Source organism: Homo sapiens, chromosome 10 (assembly GCF_000001405.40).
Source record: "Homo sapiens chromosome 10, GRCh38.p14 Primary Assembly".
In the NCBI taxonomy this organism is placed as follows: Eukaryota; Metazoa; Chordata; class Mammalia; order Primates; family Hominidae; genus Homo; species Homo sapiens.
In genome coordinates this window covers 97,379,248-97,401,879 of record NC_000010.11, presented here as the reverse complement: position 1 = coordinate 97,401,879, position 22,632 = coordinate 97,379,248, and the positions used below count along the sequence as shown (strand labels likewise).

Sequence of the window (22,632 nt, the reverse complement as noted above, 5' to 3'; positions counted from 1 at the left end):
GTTGTTTAACTGCAAAAGAACTCCAGTTTTTTGTTTGCTTTGTTTTGTTTTTTTGAGACAGTCTTACTCTGTTGTCCAGGCTGGAGTGCCGAGGCGTGATCTCGGCTTACTGCAAACTCCGCCTCCCGAGTTCAAGTGATTCTTGTGCCTCATCCTCCCGAGTAGTTGGGATTACAGGCGCGCGCCACCAAGCCCAGCTAATTTTTTTATTTTAGTAGAGACGGGGTTTCACCCTGGTGATCAGGCTGGTCTCAAACTCCTGACCTCAAATGATCCACCCGCCTCAGCCTCCCAAAGTATTGGGATTACAGGCATGAGCCACCACGCTCAGCCAAACTCCAGTTTTATAAGGCTTACGCCTGTGGCCCTGAAACCTGGTCCTGGCTGGAGTAAGAACCCCATAGAACCCTTAGCAACCTAACTTCCTCCCTAGCAACGGATCTCCTTGGAGCTCCTCCCCATCCGAAGCCAGGAGGAGGTGTAAAACCGGATGTTGACTGTTTTACCATAGTAATGCACACGAATCCGGAAGTGACGCCAGAAGAAGAGGAAGTGAAGGCTACAGGGTATCCACGTGGGTTCTGAGCGTGTTTCTACGTCCCTGGAAGCCGGTCATTTAAGCTCATTCCTCGCCACGGCTTAGTCAACATGGGTCGCTCGGGAAAGTTGCCTTCTGGTGTCTCAGCTAAGTTGAAGCGCTGGAAGAAAGGCCACAGCAGCGACAGCAACCCCGCCATCTGCCGCCACCGTCAGGCCGCCCGCAGCCGCTTCTTCAGCCGGCCGTCAGGTAGCTGGGTTGAGACCCGAGCGCAGCCGGGGGCGGGGTTCCAGGCAGACCTGGGTCCAGATGAGTCTGGGGCCTCTGGGAGAGTGCGGGGCCAGGCATTGGACCTTTCGTCTCTTAGGATGTCGGATCTGGAGCCCTCTCTGAAGGGCAGTCCTTCCAATTTAGCAGATACAGAAACTGAGGTCCGCAGTAGGGAAATGTCTTGTGTAAGGTACCGCGGGTGTCAGAGTTGAGACAGATGGCTTGGACCTTGGGTAGCTCTTTACAGAGCGCGTTCACCTTCATTTATTTTGCAGGCCCTCTGAATGTAGCTCCCAGCCGATTCCCAGTGGCGTTTATGCCGCTGCTACAGGGAAGCAGAAACTTTTACATGGAGGATTCCCTTTCTCCTTGGTTTTTCAAGTTTTTAGGCATACAGTGGTTTTATGAGACTGGCTGTGTTCAGAATTCAGCCTCTCGGGTTGGAGATTTGGCCTGGGCTGGTTTGTTTCCCAGGGGTTGTTCTGTTCTCTTGACCAAAAGGAGGCTTGGACCTTATCTTGTGCCTCTGGCTCTCAGGAAGGAGTGACCTGACAGTCGATGCTGTGAAGTTACATAATGAGCTGCAGTCAGGGTCCTTGCGCTTGGGCAAAAGCGAAGCCCCGGAGACGCCCATGGAAGAAGAGGCGGAGCTGGTTCTCACCGAGAAGTCCTCGGGTACCTTCCTGAGTGGCCTTTCCGACTGCACAAACGTCACCTTCAGCAAAGTACAGCGCTTCTGGGAGTCCAACTCGGCTGCCCACAAGGAGGTAGGGGCGAGGGTCGGGAGGGCCATAGGATAGTGAGGAGAGGCCAACTCATGCCTTTTCTTCAGCTCTGGCCGACAGGTCTCCGATGACAACAGCTGGTATTTCTGGATGATGCGTCATCGCTCCTCCCCTTTATGTCTCCTCCTAGGGCAGGTTCTACTTTCTGCTTTTTATAAGAACATCTCCTCTGCTTAAGTACTTGAGGGTAGAAATATTTTCCAAACATTTCTCTCCTCAGCTATACCTAACACAGCACTTTTACACAGAGTATTTTCAATAAACATATGTTGAGTAAATAAATGCTGAGTAACAGTGATTAGGAAACGTTTTATCTAGCAAGAACTAAATTTATTTACTTTAATTTAACTTAATTCATGTATTTATTTTGAGACAGAGTCTCGTTCTGTTGGCCAGGCTGGAGTGCAGTAGCGCAATCTTCACTCACTGCAACCTCCATCTCCCAGGCCCAAGCAATCCTCCTGCCTCAGCCTCCCAAGTAGCTGCCATTACAGGCATGTGCCACCACGCCCGGCTAATTTTTTTTTTTTTTTTTTTAGTATATTTAAATAGTGCATTATTCAAGTAGCTAATTTTTTGTGTGTGTGTATTTTTAGTAGAGACGGGGTTTCACCATGTTAGCCAGGCTGGTCTCAAACTCCTGAACTCAGGTAATCCGCCCACCTTGGCCTCCTAAAATGCTGGGATTACAGGCATGAGCCACCGTGCCTGGCCTTACTTTTATTATTTTATCTATACTATAAAGTTATATATATTTTTTGTTATTGAAATAAAAAATGTCAAAATTCTAAATGATATCAAAATGATATAAGAATAATATAATGTGATGGTAGATCCCCCAACTTGAATCATTCACAGAGCTCCTGTTAATGGGTCATTGTCTGTCTTCCTGGACCAGCTCTGTCCAATAGTAATCTAAATTCAAGCCACATATGTAATTTAAAAATGTTTAGTAGCCATATTAAAAACTGAAAGAAACAGGTAAAATAAATTCATCTTTTTATTTTTTTCTGGAGCCGGAGTTTCGCTCTTGTTGTCCAGGCTAGAGTGCAATGGCACGATCTCGGCTCACTGCAACCTCCGCCTCCTGGGTTCAGGTGATTCTCCTGCCTCAGCCTCCCGAGTAGCTGGGATTAGAGGCGTGCGCCACCATGCCCGGCTAATTTTCTGTTTTTAATAGAGACAGGGTTTCTCCATGTTGGTCAGGCTGGTCTCAAACTCCTGACCTCAGGTGATCCACCCGCCTCGGCCTCCTAAAGTGCTGGGATTACAGGTGTGAGCCACTGCGCCCGGCCCAAATTAATCTTAATAATGTACTTTATTTAACTCAGTATCTTTAAAATATTATCACTTCAATGTATAATCAGTATATTTTACTACAGCATTATTTTTATGATACCAAGTCTTCAAAATCTAGTGTATAATTTACCCATATACCCCTACTTAGATGCTAAATTTTCATTGGAAATACTTGATTTGTGTCTATTTAGAGTTCATAACATTTATGGTTGTACAAGTAGATTTGCCTACTATGAATTACTACGAACCTATTTGCCAGGTTGTTACAAATATATGTTTTCTAGTAAATAGATCAAATATTTTAAATTATGAGTAGTTGAAATTTAAAAACTAAATTTTCAGGCTGGACATAGTGGCTTACACCTGTAATCCTAGCACTTTGGGAGGCCGAGGTGGGCAGATCATTTGAGGTCAAGAGTTTGAGACCAGCCTGGCCAACATGGTGAAAACCCATCTCTACTAAAAAATTAGCCTGGCATGGTGGCATGCGCCTGTAATCCCAGCTACTTGGGAAGCTGAGGCACGAGAATCACTTGAACCCTGGAGGCAGAGGTTGCAGCGACCCAAGATCGCACCACTGCGCTTCAGCCTGGGTGACAGAACGAGACTCTGTCTCAAAAAAAAAAAAAAAAAAGGCCGGGCGCGGTGGCTCACGCCTGTAATCCCAGCACTTTGGGAGGCCGAGGCGGGTGGATCATGAGGTCAGGAGATCGAGACCATCCTGGCTAACAAGGTGAAACCCCGTCTCTACTAAAAATACAAAAAATTAGCCGGGCGCGGTGGCGGGCGCCTGTAGTCCCAGCTACTCGGGAGGCTGAGGCAGGAGAATGGCGTGAACCCGGGAAGCGGAGCTTGCAGTGAGCCGAGATTGCGCCACTGCAGTCCGCAGTCCGGCCTGGGCAACAGAGCGAGACTCCATCTCAAAAAAAAAAAAAAAAAAAAAAAAAATACGTATATATATATACATATATATATATATATGTATATATATATACGTATTTTTTTTTACCCAATTTTGTTATTTAGGTTTACCAAAATGTGATTAGTTTCTTTTCTTTTCTTTTCTTTTTTTTCAGACAGAGTCTCACTTTGTCACCCAGGTTAGAGTGCAGTGGCTGATCAGCCTTCCAATTCCCAAGTAGCTGGGACTACAGGGGAGTGCTACCATACCAAGCTAATTTTTGTATTTTTTGTAGAGATGGGGTTTGCCATATTGCCCAGATTGGTCTTGAACTCCTGGGCTCAAGGGATCTGCCCACCTGAGCCTCCCAAAGTGTTGGGATTACTGGTGTGAGCCATTGTGCCCTGCTTGATTAGTTTATTTTTTATCCACTGTTCTGCAACTTTTTCCCTACTGAACGATATTTATAAGTTAATATATAGTTGTTCTCATTCTTTTGAATAATGCACTATTTAAATTTTTCATTATTATATAATGATACAGTCAGGTCTCTATATTTGCGGGTTCTGCACCTGCAGATTCAACCAAGCATGGATTGAAAAATCTTTTTAAAATAATAATAATATACCAGGCGAGGTGGCTCACGCCTGTAATCCTAGCACTTTGGGAGGCCGAGGCGGGCAGATCACTTGAGGTCAGAAGTTCAAAACCAACCTGGCCAGCATGGTGAAACTCCATCCCTACTAAAAGTACAAAAAATTAGCCTAGCGTAGTGGCACATGCCTGTAATCCCAGCTACTCAGGAGGCTGAGGCAGGAGAATCGCTTGAACCCGGGAGGTGGAAGCTGCGGTTAGCAGAGAGTGCGCCACTGCATTCCACCCTGGGTGACAGAGTGAGACTCTGTCTCAAAAACAACAACAACAACAACAACAACAAAAATACAGTATAACAACTATTTATATAGCATTTACATTGTGTTAGGTGTTACCAGTAATCTAGAGATGATTTAAAGTATATGGGAGGCCAGGCATGGTGGCTTATGCCTGTAATCTCAGCACTTTGGGAGGCTAAGGAGGGCAGATCACTTGAGGCCAGGAGTTCAAAACCAGCTTGGTCAACATGGTAAAACCCCATCTCTACTAAAAATACAGAAATTAGCTGGGCATGGTGGTGCACACCTGTAATCCCAGCTACTTGGGAGGCTGAGGCAGGAGAATTGCTTGAACCCAGAGGCAGAGGTTGCAGTGAGCTGAGATCATGCCACTGCACTCTTGCCTAGCTAACAGTGAGACTCTATCTCAAAAAAAATAAATAAAGTATATGGGAAGATGTATATAGGTTATACACAAATACTACACCATTTTTTATAAGGGACCTGAGCATCCTCGGATTTTGGTATCTTTAGGGGTCCTGGAACCAATCCCCCCCTCGATAACTGCAGTACATTAGAGACAACTACAGTACATTATTAATCTCCTGTTGATGGCTTCTTGACCATTCCAATTTGTTGCTGCCATGAACATCCTTGTACATAAATATTTGCACACTCATCTCATGCAGGTATTTCTAGAAGGTTAGTACCTCATGGTGGAATTTTAGCAAGCATTTTCTGAGTCTTGTTATTTGCTGGGCCCCCTGGTATGGACCTAGGCCCTGAATGTTGCCTGTCTTGTCTGTCTCTGGGCTTTAACCAGAGATTAATCTGTGAAGGAGCAAGGAAAGGAGGTTCCCCTGGGGTGGGGTTAGGTCTAAAATAGTCACAGTGCTTTCTCCCTCCTGTGCAGATCTGTGCTGTTCTGGCTGCTGTCACTGAGGTGATTCGCTCCCAGGGAGGGAAGGAGACGGAGACTGAGTACTTCGCTGCTCTGGTGAGTGGGTGCCACTGGAGGGTGGGTGTTCAGAGCAGCAGGTTATGCAAGATTTAGCGAGAAGATGAGTGCCCCTGGCATGTGGGGGTAGAGAAGGACAACCTTGACCAGGTGAAAGTGCTTCAGTTATTCTCAGGTGGCTTAGGAAGGCTGGTGGTATTTGCTACCTTTTAATTTTCTCTTTTCTTTTCTTTCTTTCTTTGTTTCTTTTTTTTAAAGAGACAGGGTCTCACTATGTTGTCCAGGCTGGTTTCAAATTCCTGGGCTCAAACCGTCTTGTCATCTTGCGGTGGCCTCCCAAATTGTTGGGATTACAGGCATGAGCCACTGCAACTGGCTACTTATTACTTTTTTTTTTTTTTTTTTTGAGGCGGAGTCTCACACTGTCGCCCAGGCTGGAGTGCAATGGCATGTTCTCAACTTATTGCAACCTCTGCCTCCTGGGTTCATGTGATTCTCCTGCCTCAGCCTCCCGAGTAGCTGGGATTACAGGTGCACACCACCATACCCGGCTTATTTTTTGTATTTTTTAGTAGAGAAGAGGTTTTACTATGTTGGCCAGACTTGTCTCGAACTCCTGACCTCGTGATCTGCCTGCCTCAGCCTCCCAAAGTGCTGGGATTATAGGCCTGAGCCACCAGGCCTGGTCTACTTTTTTTTTTTTTTGAAACAGAGTCTCACTCCGTTGCCCAAGTTGGACTGCAGTGGCACGATCCCAGTTCACTGCAACCTCTGTCTCATGGTATCAAGCAATTCTCATGCCTCAGCCTCCTGAGTACCTGGGATTACAGGCGTGCGCCACCACACCTGGCTGATTTTTGTATTTTTAGTAGAGACAGGGTTTCACCATGTTGGCCCGGCTGGTCTCGAACTCGCAACCTCAGGTGATCCCCCCTACCTCAGCCTCCCAAAGTGCTGGAATTACAGGTGTGAGCCACCATGGCTGGCCTACTTATTACATTAAATAAATAAATATATTTGTGTATGTATGTATGTGTGTGTGTGTGTGTATATGTGTATATATATACTTTTTATTTTGTTTTTGGGTTTTTTTGTTGTTGTTTGTTTTGTTTTGGAGACAGGGTCTCACTTTGTTGCCCAGGCTGGAGTGCAGTGGTGTGATCATGGCTCACTGCAACCTCCACCTCCTGTGTTCAAGTGATGATCGTGCCTTAGCCTCCTGAGTAGTTGGAATTACAGGCGCCTGCCACCATGCCCAGCTAATTTTTGTATTTTTAGTAGAGACAGAGTTTCGTCATGTCGCCCAAGCTTGTCTTGAGCTCCTGAGCTGAATCAGTTCTCCCACTTTGGCCTCCCAAAGTGCTGGGATTACAGGCATGAGCCACCATGCCCAGCCTGGTTATTACATTTTTAAAGAATTGTTAAAACACACACAAAAAGAACATACAACAGAGACCAAGTGTGCATGCAAAGCCGAAAATATTTACTATCTGGTCCTTCGTAGAAAAAGTTTGCCAACCTCTGCTCTAGAATAATGAAATAAATTAGATGGCAGTATATGGTGTTTGGCTGGGTGTGGTGGCTCACGCCTTTAATCCTAGGACTTTGGGAGGCCAAGATCGGAGGAGTGCTTGAGGCTAGGAGTTCGACACCAGCCTGTGCAATATAGTGGGACCCTGTCTCTACAAAAAATAAAATAATTAGCCAAGCTTTGTGGCGCATGCCTGTAGTTCTAGCTGCTTGGGAAGTTGATGTGGGAGGATCTCTTGAGCTTTGAAGTTCAAGGTTACAGTGAGCTATGATTATACCACTGCACTCCAACCTGGGAGACCCTGTCTCTCAAAAAAACTATCTATCTATCTCTGTATATATATGCACATAAACATATATATAGTTTATTTATTTATTTTTTTTGAGACGGAGTCTCACTCTGTCACCCAGACTGGAGTGCAGTGGCACGATCTCAGCTCATTGCAAGCTCTGCCTCCTGGGTTCACGCCATTCTCCTGCCTCAGCCTCCCGAGTAGCTGGGACTACAGGCGCCCGCCACCATGCCTGGCTAATTTTTTGTATTTTTTAGTAGAGACGGTGTTTCACCGTGTTAGCCAGGATGGTCTCGGTCTCCTGACCTCGTGATCTGCCCTCCTCGGCCTCCCAAAGTGCTGGGATTACAGGCGTGAGCCACCACGCCCAGCCACATATATATAGTTTTAATTATGTGTCAGGCAGTATTTTATATATATTAATTCAATTAAACCTCACAACAACGTATAAGGTATGTAGCATTAGTATCCCTACTTTACAAATGAAGAAACTGAGTCACAGATAGGTTAAATTACTAGCCCAAAACCACACAATGCCAGAGTCAGGATCTGAACCTCTGATACCGTGGTTCTCAGTCACAACTGTTCTGCTGGGCACATGTTCCCCCACTCTCTTTCCTGTTTGCTCAGTGTAAGTTTTTATCCATTCAAACCCCCTCAATCTGGCCCTCAGATGACAACAATGGAAGCAGTGGAGTCCCCGGAGTCCCTGGCCGCCGTTGCTTACCTGCTGAACCTTGTCCTGAAGCGGTGAGTTCTGCCTCCTGTTTGAACCCCAAGGCTTTTTGTGGAGGGGAGAAGGGAATGTGGACAGGAGAAACAGGATCAGGGAATTGTTATTTAAAAAGATACTTGCTCTTCATGAACATTGTCTAGAGGCATGCAGAATGGGCCAGCATGTGACATACCGTCGTAGGCCTCTAGTGAGAAACTCTAACTAAACTAGGCTGTCCTGAACCCCTGGTAATAGAATCATTTACCTTTATGCCAAGAAGGTTGGGAAAGCACCAAAATCTTCACGTGGTGTGTGTCCAGGCAGACATTCAGGAGCTCGTGCTGTGAGATCTAAAGTTGTTATTTGATAGTCCAAAACAAAAGGCATGTCTATAGGGCCTGCAGTGCTTCCCTGGTTCCATGTGTGCTCAGTGTGTTCATGACAGAATCAAGTGTGCTTTCCTTATTGAGGAGCAGAAAATCATTGTGAAAGTGTTGAAGGCAAAAGCAGAGTCAGAAAGCTCTATTGAAAATGAAACTTTTTTGGCCTGGTGCGGTGGTTCACACCTATAATCCCAGCACTTTGGGTGGCCGAGGCAGGCAGATCAAGAGGTCAGGAGATCGAGACCATCCTGGCCAACATGGTGAAACCCCGCCTCTACTAAAAATATAAAAATTAGCTGGGTAGGCTACATGCTGTGGCTCACGCCTGTAATCCCAGCACTTTGGGAGGCTGAGGTGGGCAGATCGCCTGTAATCCCAGCACTTTGGGAGGCTGAGGTGGGCAGATCACCTGAGGTCAGGAGTTCGAGACCAAACTGGCCAACATGGTGAAACCCCGTCCCTACTAAAAACACAAAAATTAGCTGGGCATGGTGGCAGGTGCCTGTAATTCAGCTACTCGGGAGGCTGAGGCAGGAGAATTGCTTGAACCCAGTAGGCAGAGGTAGCAGTGAGCTGAGATCATGCCATTGCACTTACAGCCCTGTCAACAGTGCAAGACTCCGTCTCAAAAAAAAAAAAATAGAAAGAAAATGAAATTTGTTTTGAGTAATAAAAATTAAAAGTCATGGCTGGACGCAGTGGCTCATACCTGTAATCCCAGCACTTTTGGAGGCTGAGGCAGGAGGATTGCTTGCGGCCAGGAGTTGGAGACCAGCCTGGCCAACATGGTGAAACCCGATCTCTACTAAAAATACAAAATTAGCCAGGTGTAGTGGTACATGCCTGTAATCCCAGCTACTTGGGAGGCTGAGGCAGGAGAATCACTTGAACACAGAATGTGGAGGTTGCATTGAGCCAAGATCAAGCCACTGCAGTCCAGCCTGGGCAACAGAGTGAGACTCCATCTCAATAAATAAATAAGTAATAAAGTAAAAAATAAAAAACCTTGATTCTTTAAGATGAAAAAGTTCTTGAGATTGGTTGCACAACAATGTGAGTATACTTGGCTGGGTGTGGTGACACATACCTATAATCCCAGCACTTTGGGAGGCTGAGGCAGGTGGACTGTTGAGCCCAGGAGTTCGAAACCAGCCTGGGCAACATGGCAAAACCTTGTCTCTACAAAAAAATACAAAAATGAGCTAGGCGTGGTGGCATGCACCTGTAGTCCCAACTACTTGGGAGGTAGAGGTTGCAGTGAGCCTAATTGTGCCACTACACTCCAGCTTGGGTGACGAGTGAGACCCTGTCTCCAAAAAAAGAAAAAAAAAAAACCCACAACATGAATATACTTAACAGTACTGAATGATATACCGAAAAATATCGTTGAAATGGTGTGTTGTTTTTTTCCTTTTTGAGACAGAGTCTCGCTCTGTTGCCCAGGCTGGAGTGCAGTGGCGCCACCTCCTCCCACTGCAACTCCACCTCCTGGGTTCACACCGTTCTCGTGCCTCAGCCTGTCAAGTAGCTGGGACTACAGGCGCCCGCCACCACGTCTGGCTAATTGTTTGTATTTTTAGTAGAGACCGGGTTTCACTGTGTTAGCCAGGATGGTCTCGATCTCCTGACCTCATGATCCACCCGCCTCGGCCTCCCAAACTGCTGGGATTACAGGCGTGAGCCACTGCGTCCGGCCGAAATGATGTTTTATCTTATGTGTATTTTACCACAATTAGAAATTTATTTATTTATTTATTTATTTTTGAGACAGAGTTTCGCTCTTGTTGCCCAGGCTAGAGTGCAATGGTGCAATCTCAGCTCACCACACCCTCCACCTCCCGGGTTCAAGTGATTCTCCTGCCTTGGCCTCCCAAGTAGCTGGGATTACAGGCGGGCGCCATCACGCCCAGCTAATTTTGTATTTTTAGTAGATACAGGGTTTCTCCATGTTTGTCAGGCTGGTCTCAAACTCCCGACCTCAGGTTATCTGCCCACCTTGGCCTCCCATAGTGCTGGGATTACAGGCGTGAGCCACCATGCCTGGCCAGAAATTTTAAAATACAATTTAAAAGATACTTGTATATCAGGTGGCATTCTACAACATAAGGTCCTGGGTGACTGGGTCATTATACCAGGGAGTGTGAGTGTTGGCCCCCAGAAGGGGCATTCCTGGAGCAGTGAGTGGCAGAAGGGAGGGAAGGAGTAGTTGGCCCCAGGCTTTCTGGAGATGTGAACTGCCAGGGGAGGTGGAGAGAGGATTGGTGTCCTGAGTTTAGGAGTGGGTAGTGGGAAGGTGAGAGAGGCAGGGATCCCGGGTGGAAAGCACACTGAGCTGGCTGATAAGGTGGGTGCCTATTCTGACTTTGTTGCTCACTTTCTGAGTGACTGTGCCACCAGCGCCCCTTGCCCTGTCCTCCTTAGTACCACGAGGGGCTGCACCAGCTGCTCTTCAGGGACCCTCTGGGGTGACCATCTCTGTTCTTTCCCACAGTGTTCCCAGCCCTGTGCTTATTAAGAAGTTCTCTGATACCTCCAAAGCCTTCATGGATATCATGTCAGCTCAGGCCAGCAGCGGCTCCACCTCTGTCCTCCGATGGGTTAGTGTCTGGGGTTTAGTTTCTCATCTGGCGACTCCCAGAGCCTGTCTGATTTGGTGATGCTTAGATGTTCCCTGAGAGGGGTTTAGGCACCCTGGGGACCTCAGACAGATGCGATTTTCTGGAGTCAGTGAGAACCTGGGCTCTTTTCCCTCCTGGCCGAGGCTGGTGGCACTGAGGGACTCTGACTTTCTTCCAGGTCCTTTCCTGCCTGGCCACCCTTCTGCGGAAGCAAGACCTGGAGGCCTGGGGCTACCCCGTGACCCTTCAGGTGTACCATGGGCTGCTGAGCTTCACGGTGCATCCCAAGCCCAAGGTGAGACTACTAGCTCCCTAGAAAATGGGGCAAGGGGACAGCCACCACTCAGCCCAGTGCAGCCCAGACTTGGCTAGCTGAGTGGCACTGGGGAGCTTGCCCTGAGTACTGGCTTCTGCTTTCTGCTTCTGAGGCACCATGCATTTAGATGCAGAAGGCAGGGCGGCTCTTCCTCCTCCAGGAGGCTGTTCCCTGTCAGCCCTATCTGAGTCTCTGGTGCCTCATCAGCCATTGCCCTGTTGACGTGGACTCTCCCCATATGTCTATTTACCTCGGCAGGGAGGGTGGCATAGTTGGGGGAGTCACACAGACCTGAGTTGGATCCTGAATTCACTGCTCGAGGTGTGACCTTGGGCAAGTTACTTAATCTCTCTGAGCCTCAACTTCCTGACTATGAAATAGAGATAATTGGCTGAATGTGGTGGCTCACGCCTGTAATCCCAGCACTTTGGGAGGCCAAAGTGGGAGGATCATTTGAGGTCGGGAGTTTGAAACCAGCCTGGCCAACATAGTGAAACCTCGACTCTACTAAAAATATAAAAATTAGCCAGGTGTGGTGGTGGGTGCTTGTAATCCCAGCTACTCGGGAGGCTGAGGCAGGAGAATCGCTTGAACCCAGCAGGCAGAGGTTGCAGTGAGCCAAGATTGCACCACTGCACTCCAGCCTGGGCAACAGAACGAGACTCCATCTCAAAAGAAAAAAAAAGAAATAGAGATAATCACACCTACTTTGCTACAGAGTTGTGGGGAGACTCCAGTGTTCCCCACAGGCCTGGCGCACCTCCTGGCTCACGGCAGGTGCTTGGTGAGTGATGGTTCCCCACTGTTTCCTCTGGAAATTTAGGGCAGGAGGTGGTAACAATAACAGTCATGTAATCACTCCCAGTGCTAAGCACCGTCAGCCCAGATGGTCTCATGCCCCCTTCCCTCGGTGCTCACATGATCTTTTCCTCACCTTCAGCTCTCGCTGCAGTGGCACTTCACTGCGGTGACACTTTCCTGACCACTGTATAAAAAGTAGCAGCCCCTTGGCTGGGCGCGGTGGCTCACGGCTGTAATCCCAGCACTTTGGGAGGCCGAGGCGGGCGGATCACGAGGTCAGGAGATCGAGACCATCCTGGCTAACATAGTGAAACCCCGTCTCTACTAAAAATACAAAAAATTAGCCGGGTGTGGTGGCGGGCGCCTGTAGTCCCAGCTGCTCGGGAGGCGGAGGCAGGAGAATGGCGTGAACCTGGGAGGCGGAGCTTGCAGTGAGCCGAGATCCGCCACTGCACTCCGCCTGGGCTACAGAGCAAGACTCTGTCTCAAACAAACAACAACAACAAAAGTAGCAGCCCCTGCTTGGTTATCTGCAAAGTACTTTTTAACCTTCTGTTATGTATTTGTTTTCTGCCTCCCAGCTGGAAGGGGAGTTGCCTGCTGTTCAGTGCCAGTTTGCCAGGACCTAGAACAGTGCCTGGCTTGGTGGACACACAGTGTTTGCCGGATGATTAAGTGAATGAAGAAACCCCTGTTTTCAAGATGATATTGAAACTCAGAAATTAAGTAGTTGGGCTTGCTTAAGGCCATTTGGTGAGTTAGTTGTAGAGCAGGGATTTGAACTGAGGTTTGTCTTGCTTCACAGCTCAGGATTCTGTACACATGAAGGCCCTGGTGTAGCACTGGATCTATAGTAGTCAGATCATCATTGGATCTATATTTCAGCCAAAGCTAATTGGTTGGTGCTTGTGCCGGACACCCAAGATGCTGGTGGAACGCTGATCTGGCCTTGTCTCCTGCTCTCCTTGCCCCTCAGATCCGGAAGGCTGCCCAGCATGGAGTATGCTCAGTCCTCAAGGGCAGTGAATTCATGTTTGAAAAGGCCCCTGCCCATCATCCTGCTGCCATTTCCACTGCCAAGTTCTGCATCCAGGAGATTGAGAAGTCTGGAGGTGGGGAACCCAAATGGAGGGCAGGTGGATGGGAGGCAGTGGCTGGCAGAGCAGGACAGGGCCTGCGGTAGGGCGGGGCTGGTGTCTCAATTCCTCTTCTGTATACCAGGCTCCAAGGAGGCCACCACCACGCTGCACATGCTGACGCTGCTGAAGGACCTGCTGCCCTGCTTCCCGGAAGGCCTGGTGAAGAGCTGCAGTGAGACTCTCCTCAGGGTCATGACCTTGAGCCATGTGGTGAGCTCAGGCCCAAAAGCTGGAGAAAGGGGGACCTGCAGTGGTGGCATTTGGGGAACTCACTGGTCAGTCAAAATGCAGGGCCTGGGGTCTCCCTCCCTGACTGTGTTCTTAAGCTAAAACCAACAGCACTACGTTACTCTGTGGTGTTTGGCTAGGCCAGGCCATATCAGAGTCCCCTTCCAGATGGAAGCTGACCTCAGAGATCAGGTCAGAGTCAGGGTGGATCTGTAGTGGGCTGGTAAACCCTCCTTCTGCACCAGCTCTATGTACCCTATACCAATTTTTTTTTTTTTTTTTTTTTTTTTTTGAGACCGAGTTTTGCTCTTGTTGCACAGCTGGAGTGCAATGGCGCGATCTTGGCTCACTGCAACCTCTGGCTCCCGGGTTCAAGCGATTCTTCTGCCTCAGCCTCCCAAGTAGCTGGGATTACAGGCATGCACCACCACGCCCAGCTAATTTTTTGTATTTTTAGTAGAGATGGGGTTTCTCCATGTTGATCAGGCTGGTCTTGAACTCCCAACCTCAGGTGATCTGCCCGCCTCAACCTCCCAAAGTTCTGGGATTACAGGCGTGAGCCACTGCGCCCGGTCGAGTTTTTTTTTTTTAGCAGCTTTAAAGACACATGAAAAATGATTTCCTGTGTTTCTACCATTTCTAGCACAATTCTGTAAATCTTTATACAGTCAGCTCTTTGTATGTGTGGTTCCCACAGCCATAAATTCAACCAACCTTGGATTGAAAATATTTGGAAACTGGGCATGGCTGCACGCGCCTATAATCCCAGATGCTTGGGAGGTGGAAGTGGGAGGATTGCTTGAGCCCAGGAGGTTGAGGCTGTAGTGAGCCATGGTCATGCCACTGCACTCCAACTTGGGCAACAGAGCAAGAACCCCATGTCAAAAAAAAAAAAAAAGGAAAAAGAAAAAAAAGGAAAGAAAAAGAAAAGAAAATATTCAGGAAAAAGAAAATGGTTGGTTGCTTCTGTACTGAACATGTACAGTTTTTTTTCCTTGTCATTATTCCTTAGACAACAGAGTGTAGCAACTATTTACATAGCATTTATATTGTATTACGTATTATAAGTAATCCAGGTGATTTAAAGTGTATGGGAGGATGCGTGTAGGTTATATGGAAATACTACACCATTTAATATAGAGACTTGAGCATTGGTAGATTTTTATGTCCATGGGGGGTCCTGGAACCAATCCCCCACAGATACCCCCGCCAACTCACTGTGTGTTCTCTCTCTTTTTTTTTTTGTGATGGAGTCTCGCTCTGTCACCCAGGCTGGAGTGCAGTGGCGTGGTCTCGGCTCACTGCAAACTCCGCCTTCCGGGTTCACGCCATTCTCCTGCCTCAGCCTCCCGAGTAGCTGGGACTACAGGCGCCCGCCACCACACCTGACTAGTTTTTTGTATTTTTAGTAGACACGGGGTTTCACCGTGTTAGCCAGGATGCTCTCGATCTCCTGGCCTCGTGATCCACTCACCTCGGCCTCCCAAAGTGCTGGGATTACAGATGTGAGCCTCTGCACCCGGCCTTGTATATTCTCTTGTAGTGTTTATTTACATACATATTTTTAAAATTGTAAAATATAAATAATATGATCATTGTTTAAAAGGGAAAAACAATTCAGAAGTGTATAAAGTAAAAATCTCCTTCCCTCCAAATCCTGTTTCCTAAGGTAGACAGTGCAAATAACTTTCTGGGTATCCTTTCAGACATTTTCTCTTTGGATAAACAAATATACATGATAAAACATGTAAAGGCCAGGTGCAGTGGCTCACACCTGTAACCTTAGCACTTGGGAGGCTAAGGCAGGAGGCAAGGAATTTGAGACCAGCTTGGGCAACATAGTGAGACGAGACTCTGTCTTTATAAAAATTAAAAAATTGGCCAGGCACAGTGGCATGCACCTGTATTGGTCTCACCCCTGTATCCAGCAACGGAGCAAGATTCTGTCTCAAAAAAAAAAAAAAAAAAAATACAGCTGTAACAGACCGTTTATAGCCTGCTTTTTTGGCTGTTATGTTAAAACCATTTTGTTAATGTTTCTATCTTTGTTTAAGACATTTAAAGCTTTTTCAGTGGCTTCCATGTCTTACTAAGGTGGCAGTCCTCAGGGTGTCTCTGTGTGGGGGGCATGTGTGAGGTTCAGGGGGCCCTCAACTCCCTAGCACACAGGTGGAGTTGAGGGGTCCAGGGCCAGCCGTGGGCTTTGTAGTTCCTTTCTAAGCCTGTGTGTCCCCCTCCAGCTGGTGACAGCCTGTGCCATGCAGGCCTTTCACAGCCTCTTCCACGCCAGGCCTGGCCTGAGCACCCTGTCAGCAGAGCTCAACGCCCAGATCATCACGGTGAGGCCTGTTGGTGGGATGTGGGGGCATTAGGTCGGGGGTGGTGCCTTGGGAGGCTGTGCTGGGGGCACTGGCCCTGCGCCTTGTCTACAGAGTGAGGTTGGCTGGGCTGGGTTGTCCTAGTGGAAGAGGCCAGTAGAAGGGGAAGGAAGATTGGAGACCAGCCATCAAATTCACATCAGTGTCCCCAGGAGCTGGGACCTTGACCCTTGACCTAGTTAACTTTAATGAACTGTTTCAGCATGGTCTCGTGGTGCTCATAGATACCTTGAGCAGGGCTCTCGGCCTTAGAGGTCTGTGGATGGATATTGGGAGGGGGGATCAGATCCCCCAAATTGTTAGCAAAATGTACGTTTTTTTTTTTCAAAGAAGGCCTCTGGCTTTTGTCAGACTCACAAAGGAGTGTGTGACCCATGATACTCCGCTGCTCCTAGAGGCTGTTCTCCCAAAGAATTAGAGCTGGGAGGGCTTCATGGAGAAGGGAAAGGCAGGAGCTGGGAAAGCCAAGGGGGCTGTGAGTGCTAGGGTCACAAGCACTGTCCCCAGGACATTGCTGGTGCCAGGATGGGAAGGGGTCATCATCACTGGGCTATTGCAGACCCTGCATGCTCAGTCACCTGCTTATTCCCACTTTTAGGCCCTGTACGACTATGTTCCCAGTGAGAATGATTTACAACCCCTGCTAGCCTGGCTTAAGGTCATGGAGAAAGCCCACATCAACCTGGTGAGGTACGGATGAAGGAGGGGTGCTTAGGGCCTCTGTCCAGGCTGTTGAGGTGGGGGTGCTCAGGGCCTGTGTCCAGGCTGCCGAGGTGGGGGGTCCTCAGGGCCTTCATCCTGGCTGCCAAGGTTGGGGGGGTCCTTAGGGCCTGTGTCCAGGCTGCCAAGGTGGGGGTTCCTCAGGGCCTCTGTCCAGGCTGCTGAGGTGGGGGGTCCTCAGGGTCTTCATCCTGGCTGCCAAGGTTGGGGGGGTCCTTAGGGCCTGTGTCCAGGCTGCCAAGATTGGGGGTCCTCAGGGCCTCCGTCCCGGCTGAGGTTGCAGGGTCCTTAGGGTCTCCGTCCTAGCTGCTGAGGTTGCAGAGTTCTCAGAGCCTCTGTCCAGGCTGCCGAGATTGGGGGTCCTCAGGGTCTCCATCCTGGCTGCCGAGGTTGGGGGTCCTCAGGGTCTCCGTCCAGGCTGCTGAGGTTGGGAGTACTTAGGGCCTTCATCCTGGCTGCTGAGGTTATGGAGTTCTCAGAGCCTCTGTCCAGGCTGCCGAGATTGGGGGTCCTCAGGGTCTCCGTCCTGGCTGCCGAGGTTGGGGGTCCTCAGGGTCTCCGTCCAGGCAGCTGAGGTTGGGGGTACTTAAGGCCTTCATCCTGGCTGCTGAGGTTATGGAGTTCTCAGGGCCTCTGTCCAGGCTGCCAAAGTGGGGGAATCCTTAGGGCCTCCGTCCAGGCTGCCGAAGTTGGGGGTCCTCAGGGCTACCATCCTGGCTGCCAAGGTTGGGGGGTCTTTAGGACCTCTTGTCCAGGCTGCCAAGGTGGGGGGTCCTCAGGGCCTCCCTCCAGGCTGCAGAGGTTGGGGGTCCTCAGGGCCTCCGTCCTGGCTGCTGAGGTTGTGGAGTTCTCAGGGCCTCTGTCCTGGCTGCCAAGGTTCGGGGTGCTCAGGGCCTGCGTCTGGTTGCTGAGGTTGGGGGTGCTCAGAGCCCCATCCTGGCTGCTGAGGTTGGGGATGCTCAGGGCCTCTGGCCTGGCTGCTGAGGTTGGGGGTGCTCAGGGCCTCCGTCCTGGCTGCTGAGGTTGGGGGTGCTCAGGGCCTCCGTCCTGGCTGCCGGAGGTGGAGGGGACGTGAGCCGGAGACTGGAGAGGCTGTTCAGCCTCCTGGGGCCTGACGGCATCTCCATGTCAAGTGAGCTACAGAGCAGCTCTTGTTTTTGTGAGGCACGGGGTAGGACAGTGCAGCTCGTTCTGACAGGGTCTGATTCCTGCCAGAGCGTTTGCCAGCCAGCCGGGAGGAACAGCAAGGTGGGCTGCGAGCCCTGCGTCCCAGGTTGAGGCCTGAGTTTCACCCTGCCTCTTGCCGCTCCCTGGCTGTGTCTTCCTGTGCACTCAGTTTCCTGGCCATGGGATATCCTTTCTGTGGCTCCACTCCACTCTCGCCTGGACTGGCGGCTCCGTTCTCCAGGTTCCGTAGTCCCGTGAACCGACTTTCTGCTTTGTGTCTGCATACTTTCAGGGTTCAGGCTTGGCCACTTAATAGTAATTCCACTTTTCTGGAATAAGGCTGAGAAGAAACAGTATACAGTAACCAGTTGGTGACCTGCATGGAGGGAGGCAAGGGCCTCTTAGACCTCGTGGCTCTCTTTTGCTGGGTTTGTCTTCTCAGCTAAGGGTTCCAACGGCCTGCCCTCACCCAGGCAGCCTGCTGTCACCCAGGCGTGTGCCAAACACTGTTCATCTGTGTTTCCTTTCACTAGTCACAGCAACCCCATGAGGAAGGGTTTAGCCCCAATTTATAAGCCAGAAACAAAGGCTCTGTGAGTGAGCTAGTCACACAGCCCTGATGAGTAAGGCCAGGTCTCTGGCCCAGGTCTGCCCAGCCCACATTCTTTTTCCTGCATCAAACCGCCTTTACTGGGAGGTGTACAAAAATGGCAAAATCACCCCATTCACCACTTCTCATGCTTCAGCCCGCAGGAGCACACCCACAGTTAGGCCCCATTGTGCGTCCCGGGATGCTTATCATCGTACTCTAGGTAACATATAAAAACTGGAAGCAAGCTAAGTGTCCCACAGAGGGGTGAAATATAAACAATGAAGTACTGTGCAGCCATTAGAAACAATCAAAGTGGGCCTGGCACAGTGGCTCACGCTTATAATCCCAGCACTTTAGGAGACCGAGATGGGCAGATCACTTGAGGCCAGGAGTTTGAGACTAGCCTGGCCAAAATGGCGAAACCCCATCTTCACTAAAAATACAAAAATTATCTGGGTGTGGTGGTACACACCTGTAATCCCAGCTACTTGGGAGGCTGAGGCACGAGAATCGCTTGAACCTCTGGGGTGGAGGTTGCAGTAAACTGAGATCGCACCACTGTTCTCCAGCCTGGGTGACAGGGTGAGACCCTATCTCAAAAAAAAAAAAAAATAGAAACAGTCAAAGTGGTTGTATGTGCACTTATATGGAAAGAACTCCAAGATATATTGGAGAAAAAGCAAGACATAGAATAGCAGGTATGATGTGATTGTTTCTCTATGTATACTCTGGAACCACATTGCTAAGGGTGTGAATCCTGACCCCATTACCAAGCTGGGTGGCCTTGGGCAAGTTATTTGACTTCTCTGTGTCTTTCCTCATCTATAAAATGGAAAAATAATAGGATTTATCTCATTAGTTGTTACAAGGTTTAAATGAATGTATGTTATATCAGTGATTGGTATATGATAAGAGTTACATAAATGCTACCAGGCCAGGTGCAGTGGCTTATGCCTGTAATCACAGGGCTTTAGGAAGCCAAGGCAGGAGGATCACTTGAGGCCAGAAGGTCGAGACTAGCCTGGGAAACACAGTGAGATCCTGTCTCTACAAAAAATAAAAAGATTAGCTGAGCATGGTGGCATGTGCCTGTAGCCCCAGCTACTCAGGAGGCTGAGGTGGGAGGATCACTTGAGCCCAGGAGTTTGAGACTCCGTGAGCTATGATTGTACCACTGCAAAAAAAAAAAAGTTAGCAGAAGTTACTGTTTTCATGTTTGTGCATTTTAGAACTTCTGGAAGGGTATTTAAGAAACTTAACCTTGATTTTCCCCTGGAAGTACATATAAGGGTCAGGCCAGAAGGGTGAGTTAGGGAAGGCATGCCCTTCATTTTACACCTTGAAGACCTGTTTGAATTTTCTACCACATGTAGTTATTACTTGAACGATAGTGCCTTTTTAAAAACCACCCACCAGAAGGGCCCTACGGAGCCCTGCAGATCACTGGGTTTGTGACTGTTTTCAGAGCTGGGCCGTCTCAGCCCTGAGCCCTGGTTGCCCGGGTCCCCAGGGCTCAGGCCAGGCCCCACAGAAACCTTTTGTCTTGACAGGTTGCAGTGGGACCTGGGGCTAGGCCACCTCCCTCGCTTTTTTGGAACTGCGGTGACCTGCCTCCTTTCCCCACACTCGCAAGTGCTGACTGCTGCTACGCAGAGCCTCAAGGTACTGCAACTTTAGCTGAGGAAGCAGAGAGCACAGGGGGTTCTATGGGCTGCCCTGTCTTTCCCAGCACTGGCCCCAGGCTACCAGCTCGGGCCCAGAGAGGCCGCTCTCAAAATGGGAGATAGGTTTCTTCGAAGCTTTCTTAGACTCCCAGGAAACTGTTGCCTGGGAGGGGAGAGTGGTCCTGGGGGGCTGCCTTGGGCCCAGAAAGCCTGTGGCCTCTCTTCGCAGGAGATCCTGAAGGAATGCGTGGCTCCCCACATGGCTGACATTGGCTCCGTGACCTCCTCGGCCTCAGGCCCTGCCCAATCTGTTGCCAAGATGTTCAGGTGAGGATATGGGGTCCATGTTAGGAAGGGATGGTGGTACCTTGAGGAAAGTTCTATATAATACGAATGCTCCACTCTCCACCTACTGTGGGCCAGGCCTGCAGTGGCAGTGCTTTACGGGATTGCAGGCTGCTTACTGAACATCTGCCGGAGCAGCTACCGTGGACTTGAGCACCTGCCATGTTTTAGCCACACCTCACCTCTTGGTTTCCTAGAGGTTTCCCCATCTGAAGTTGGGTCAGATAACTACCTCATTGGTTTTTCTTTAAGCACTAGCATTATCTAAATTAAACTCTTAACATAGGGAGTGTGGGCATGTCACAAATGTTAGTTCTCTTCTGTTGTCTCTCCTGGGGCCCCATTCTTGCTGGCCAGCTAGCGTCTGTAGCTCAGGGTGCTGGCCGTTGACTTTCTCTGGTGGGGGGCACAGGGTGGTGTGACCGTGGCCCTGACTGTGCCGCCCCCTTGGCAGGGCAGTGGAGGAGGGCCTGACGTACAAATTCCATGCGGCCTGGAGCTCCGTGTTGCAGCTGCTGTGTGTCTTCTTCGAGGCGTGTGGGAGACAGGCCCACCCTGTGATGAGGAAGGTGAGTGGGGAGCGGCTGGGGCCAGGGCAGGAAGTGGTGCTGGCTCTTGGACTATGGGCTCCTGGAGGGCACGTGTCTCTGTTATCTCTGCACCCTGCTCCGCACCCCACCCTGACAGGGCCATAGCAGGTGCCCCATGCAGTATCCCCTGGAAGGTGACTGGGCCAACAAGGGAGGGGCAGGAAAAAGGGTGGCAGTCCCCCCACCTGCTCACTAGTCTTTGCTGGAGTTACTGGTTTTGAAACTTAGGGAGTCTATTTGCTTTCCCTTATCCCCACCCCTTATCTTTTAAATTTTAATTATCTAAGTTTCCTATAACCAGTGAGTATAGCATTGAAGTTCTAAACAGCCCTAGGTCCCACGGAGGTTCCTCCAGTCCAGGGTTAACCATTTAAGGATCAGGGATCACTCAGGGATCCTGAGCAGACCGTAGTCCAGGAGAGAGTGGGGGCCTGAGGACAGCCCCCAGACTGGTCCCGCATCAGCAGAGACAGCAGCTCCTGGCCTCGTGGGGCCTTCCTCACTGACTCCCTCCCATTGCTGGAAAAAAGGAACCCTGGTGGGAGGACAGGGTCTCCATCAAGAGGCCTGGCCTGAGCCCTGATAAATTAGGTTGACCAGTTTGGCTTTATACAAGAGGCCAGGCAGGGCCTTGAAAGTGTGGCTGGGGGAGGGCTGTGGCCATAGTGAACCCAGGGGTGCACCTCTGTCTCCTCAGCGCCTGCTGATTTGCTAATTGTTGCATGCAGACAAGATACATTTGTCCCATTTTCGAAGATAAATTGGAAATCTACATTTGTGTGTGAAACTTTCTAATTTTTACATGTTGTTAAATGTAACAGAATTTTGTAAAATCCTAGGCCCTGGGATTTTACAGTCACCAGTGGTTAATTGGGTTCTCAGTCTGTACCCTCTGGTGTAGCGTTGAACCCAGGCCCAGAATTCCAGCCTCATCGTTCAGCGGGGTCTTGTCATGGGTCCCTGCTTTCGAGCATGTCTTGATGTGTGGTCACTCATCTCTGCTGCAGTGCCTCCAGTCCCTGTGTGACCTGCGCCTCTCCCCTCATTTCCCCCACACGGCGGCTCTTGACCAGGCAGTGGGGGCTGCGGTGACCAGTATGGGACCTGAGGTGGTGCTGCAGGCTGTGCCTTTGGAAATTGATGGCTCTGAGTAAGTGTGGCCCTGGCTGGCTTCCTGACAAGCCCCAGGCTTGTTCTCTCCCCTGGAAAGGATGTCTGCTGCTGTGGGCTAAAGTCTGTGTCAGTGCAGGGCTCAGCAGGAGGGGCCAGAGGAGGTCTTACTCTGTCCTGGGCTCAGTATGCTATGCACTGCCCTCAGGGCTGTCCCCTCATCCTCATTGGGTTCTTCCCATTCTCTTCCCAGGGAGACTCTGGATTTCCCACGGAGCTGGCTGCTGCCTGTCATCCGAGACCATGTTCAGGAAACGCGACTTGGTTTTTTCACCACCTACTTCTTGCCCCTGGCTAACACCCTGAAGAGCAAAGGTAGGAGAGACCCTTGCCTGTGTGTGACCTGAGGCTCCCCACAGT

General features: G+C 49.7%; 1 protein-coding gene and 1 pseudogene across 6 annotated transcripts in view, besides 2 other annotated features; both read left to right on the top strand.

Annotated features, from left to right (window-relative positions):
* The first annotated feature begins 509 nt into the window (after nt 1-509).
* Nucleotides 510-22,632, top strand: part of RRP12 (ribosomal RNA processing 12 homolog) — a 45,014-nt gene continuing 22,891 nt past the window's right edge. For 3 of the 6 annotated variants that reach the window (NM_015179.4, XM_011539556.3, XM_047424904.1), the window contains exons 1-15: nt 540-787; nt 1,346-1,575; nt 5,579-5,662; nt 8,120-8,196; nt 11,036-11,141; nt 11,341-11,457; nt 13,256-13,391; nt 13,501-13,628; nt 15,887-15,985; nt 16,623-16,714; nt 20,054-20,165; nt 20,397-20,494; nt 20,967-21,081; nt 22,110-22,252; nt 22,466-22,587. In NM_015179.4, the coding sequence (NP_055994.2) occupies nt 649-787; nt 1,346-1,575; nt 5,579-5,662; nt 8,120-8,196; nt 11,036-11,141; nt 11,341-11,457; nt 13,256-13,391; nt 13,501-13,628; nt 15,887-15,985; nt 16,623-16,714; nt 20,054-20,165; nt 20,397-20,494; nt 20,967-21,081; nt 22,110-22,252; nt 22,466-22,587 (1,798 nt within the window). In that variant the 5' untranslated portion in view covers nt 540-648. Of the gene's footprint in view, nt 788-1,345; nt 1,576-5,578; nt 5,663-8,119; nt 8,197-11,035; nt 11,142-11,340; nt 11,458-13,255; nt 13,392-13,500; nt 13,629-15,886; nt 15,986-16,622; nt 16,715-20,053; nt 20,166-20,396; nt 20,495-20,966; nt 21,082-22,109; nt 22,253-22,465; nt 22,588-22,632 lie in introns of all 6 variants that reach the window. The other 3 variants (XM_047424903.1, NM_001145114.1, NM_001284337.2) reach the window with 3 other exon arrangements.
* Nucleotides 1,007-1,056: an enhancer, noted in NCBI's record as "active region_3849". NCBI's record gives its function as "activates an Ori minimal core promoter by ATAC-STARR-seq in GM12878 lymphoblastoid cells {active_cell/tissue: GM12878}" and the evidence as "EXISTENCE:reporter gene assay evidence [ECO:0000049][PMID:35858748]".
* Nucleotides 7,466-7,633: a silencer, noted in NCBI's record as "fragment chr10:99154004-99154171 (GRCh37/hg19 assembly coordinates)". NCBI's record gives its function as "represses an EF-1alpha promoter that drives an FKBP-Casp9 reporter gene in an ReSE screen in K562 erythroleukemia cells {active_cell/tissue: K562}" and the evidence as "EXISTENCE:reporter gene assay evidence [ECO:0000049][PMID:32094911]".
* On the top strand, nt 8,298-8,706 carry RPL34P20 (ribosomal protein L34 pseudogene 20; annotated as a pseudogene).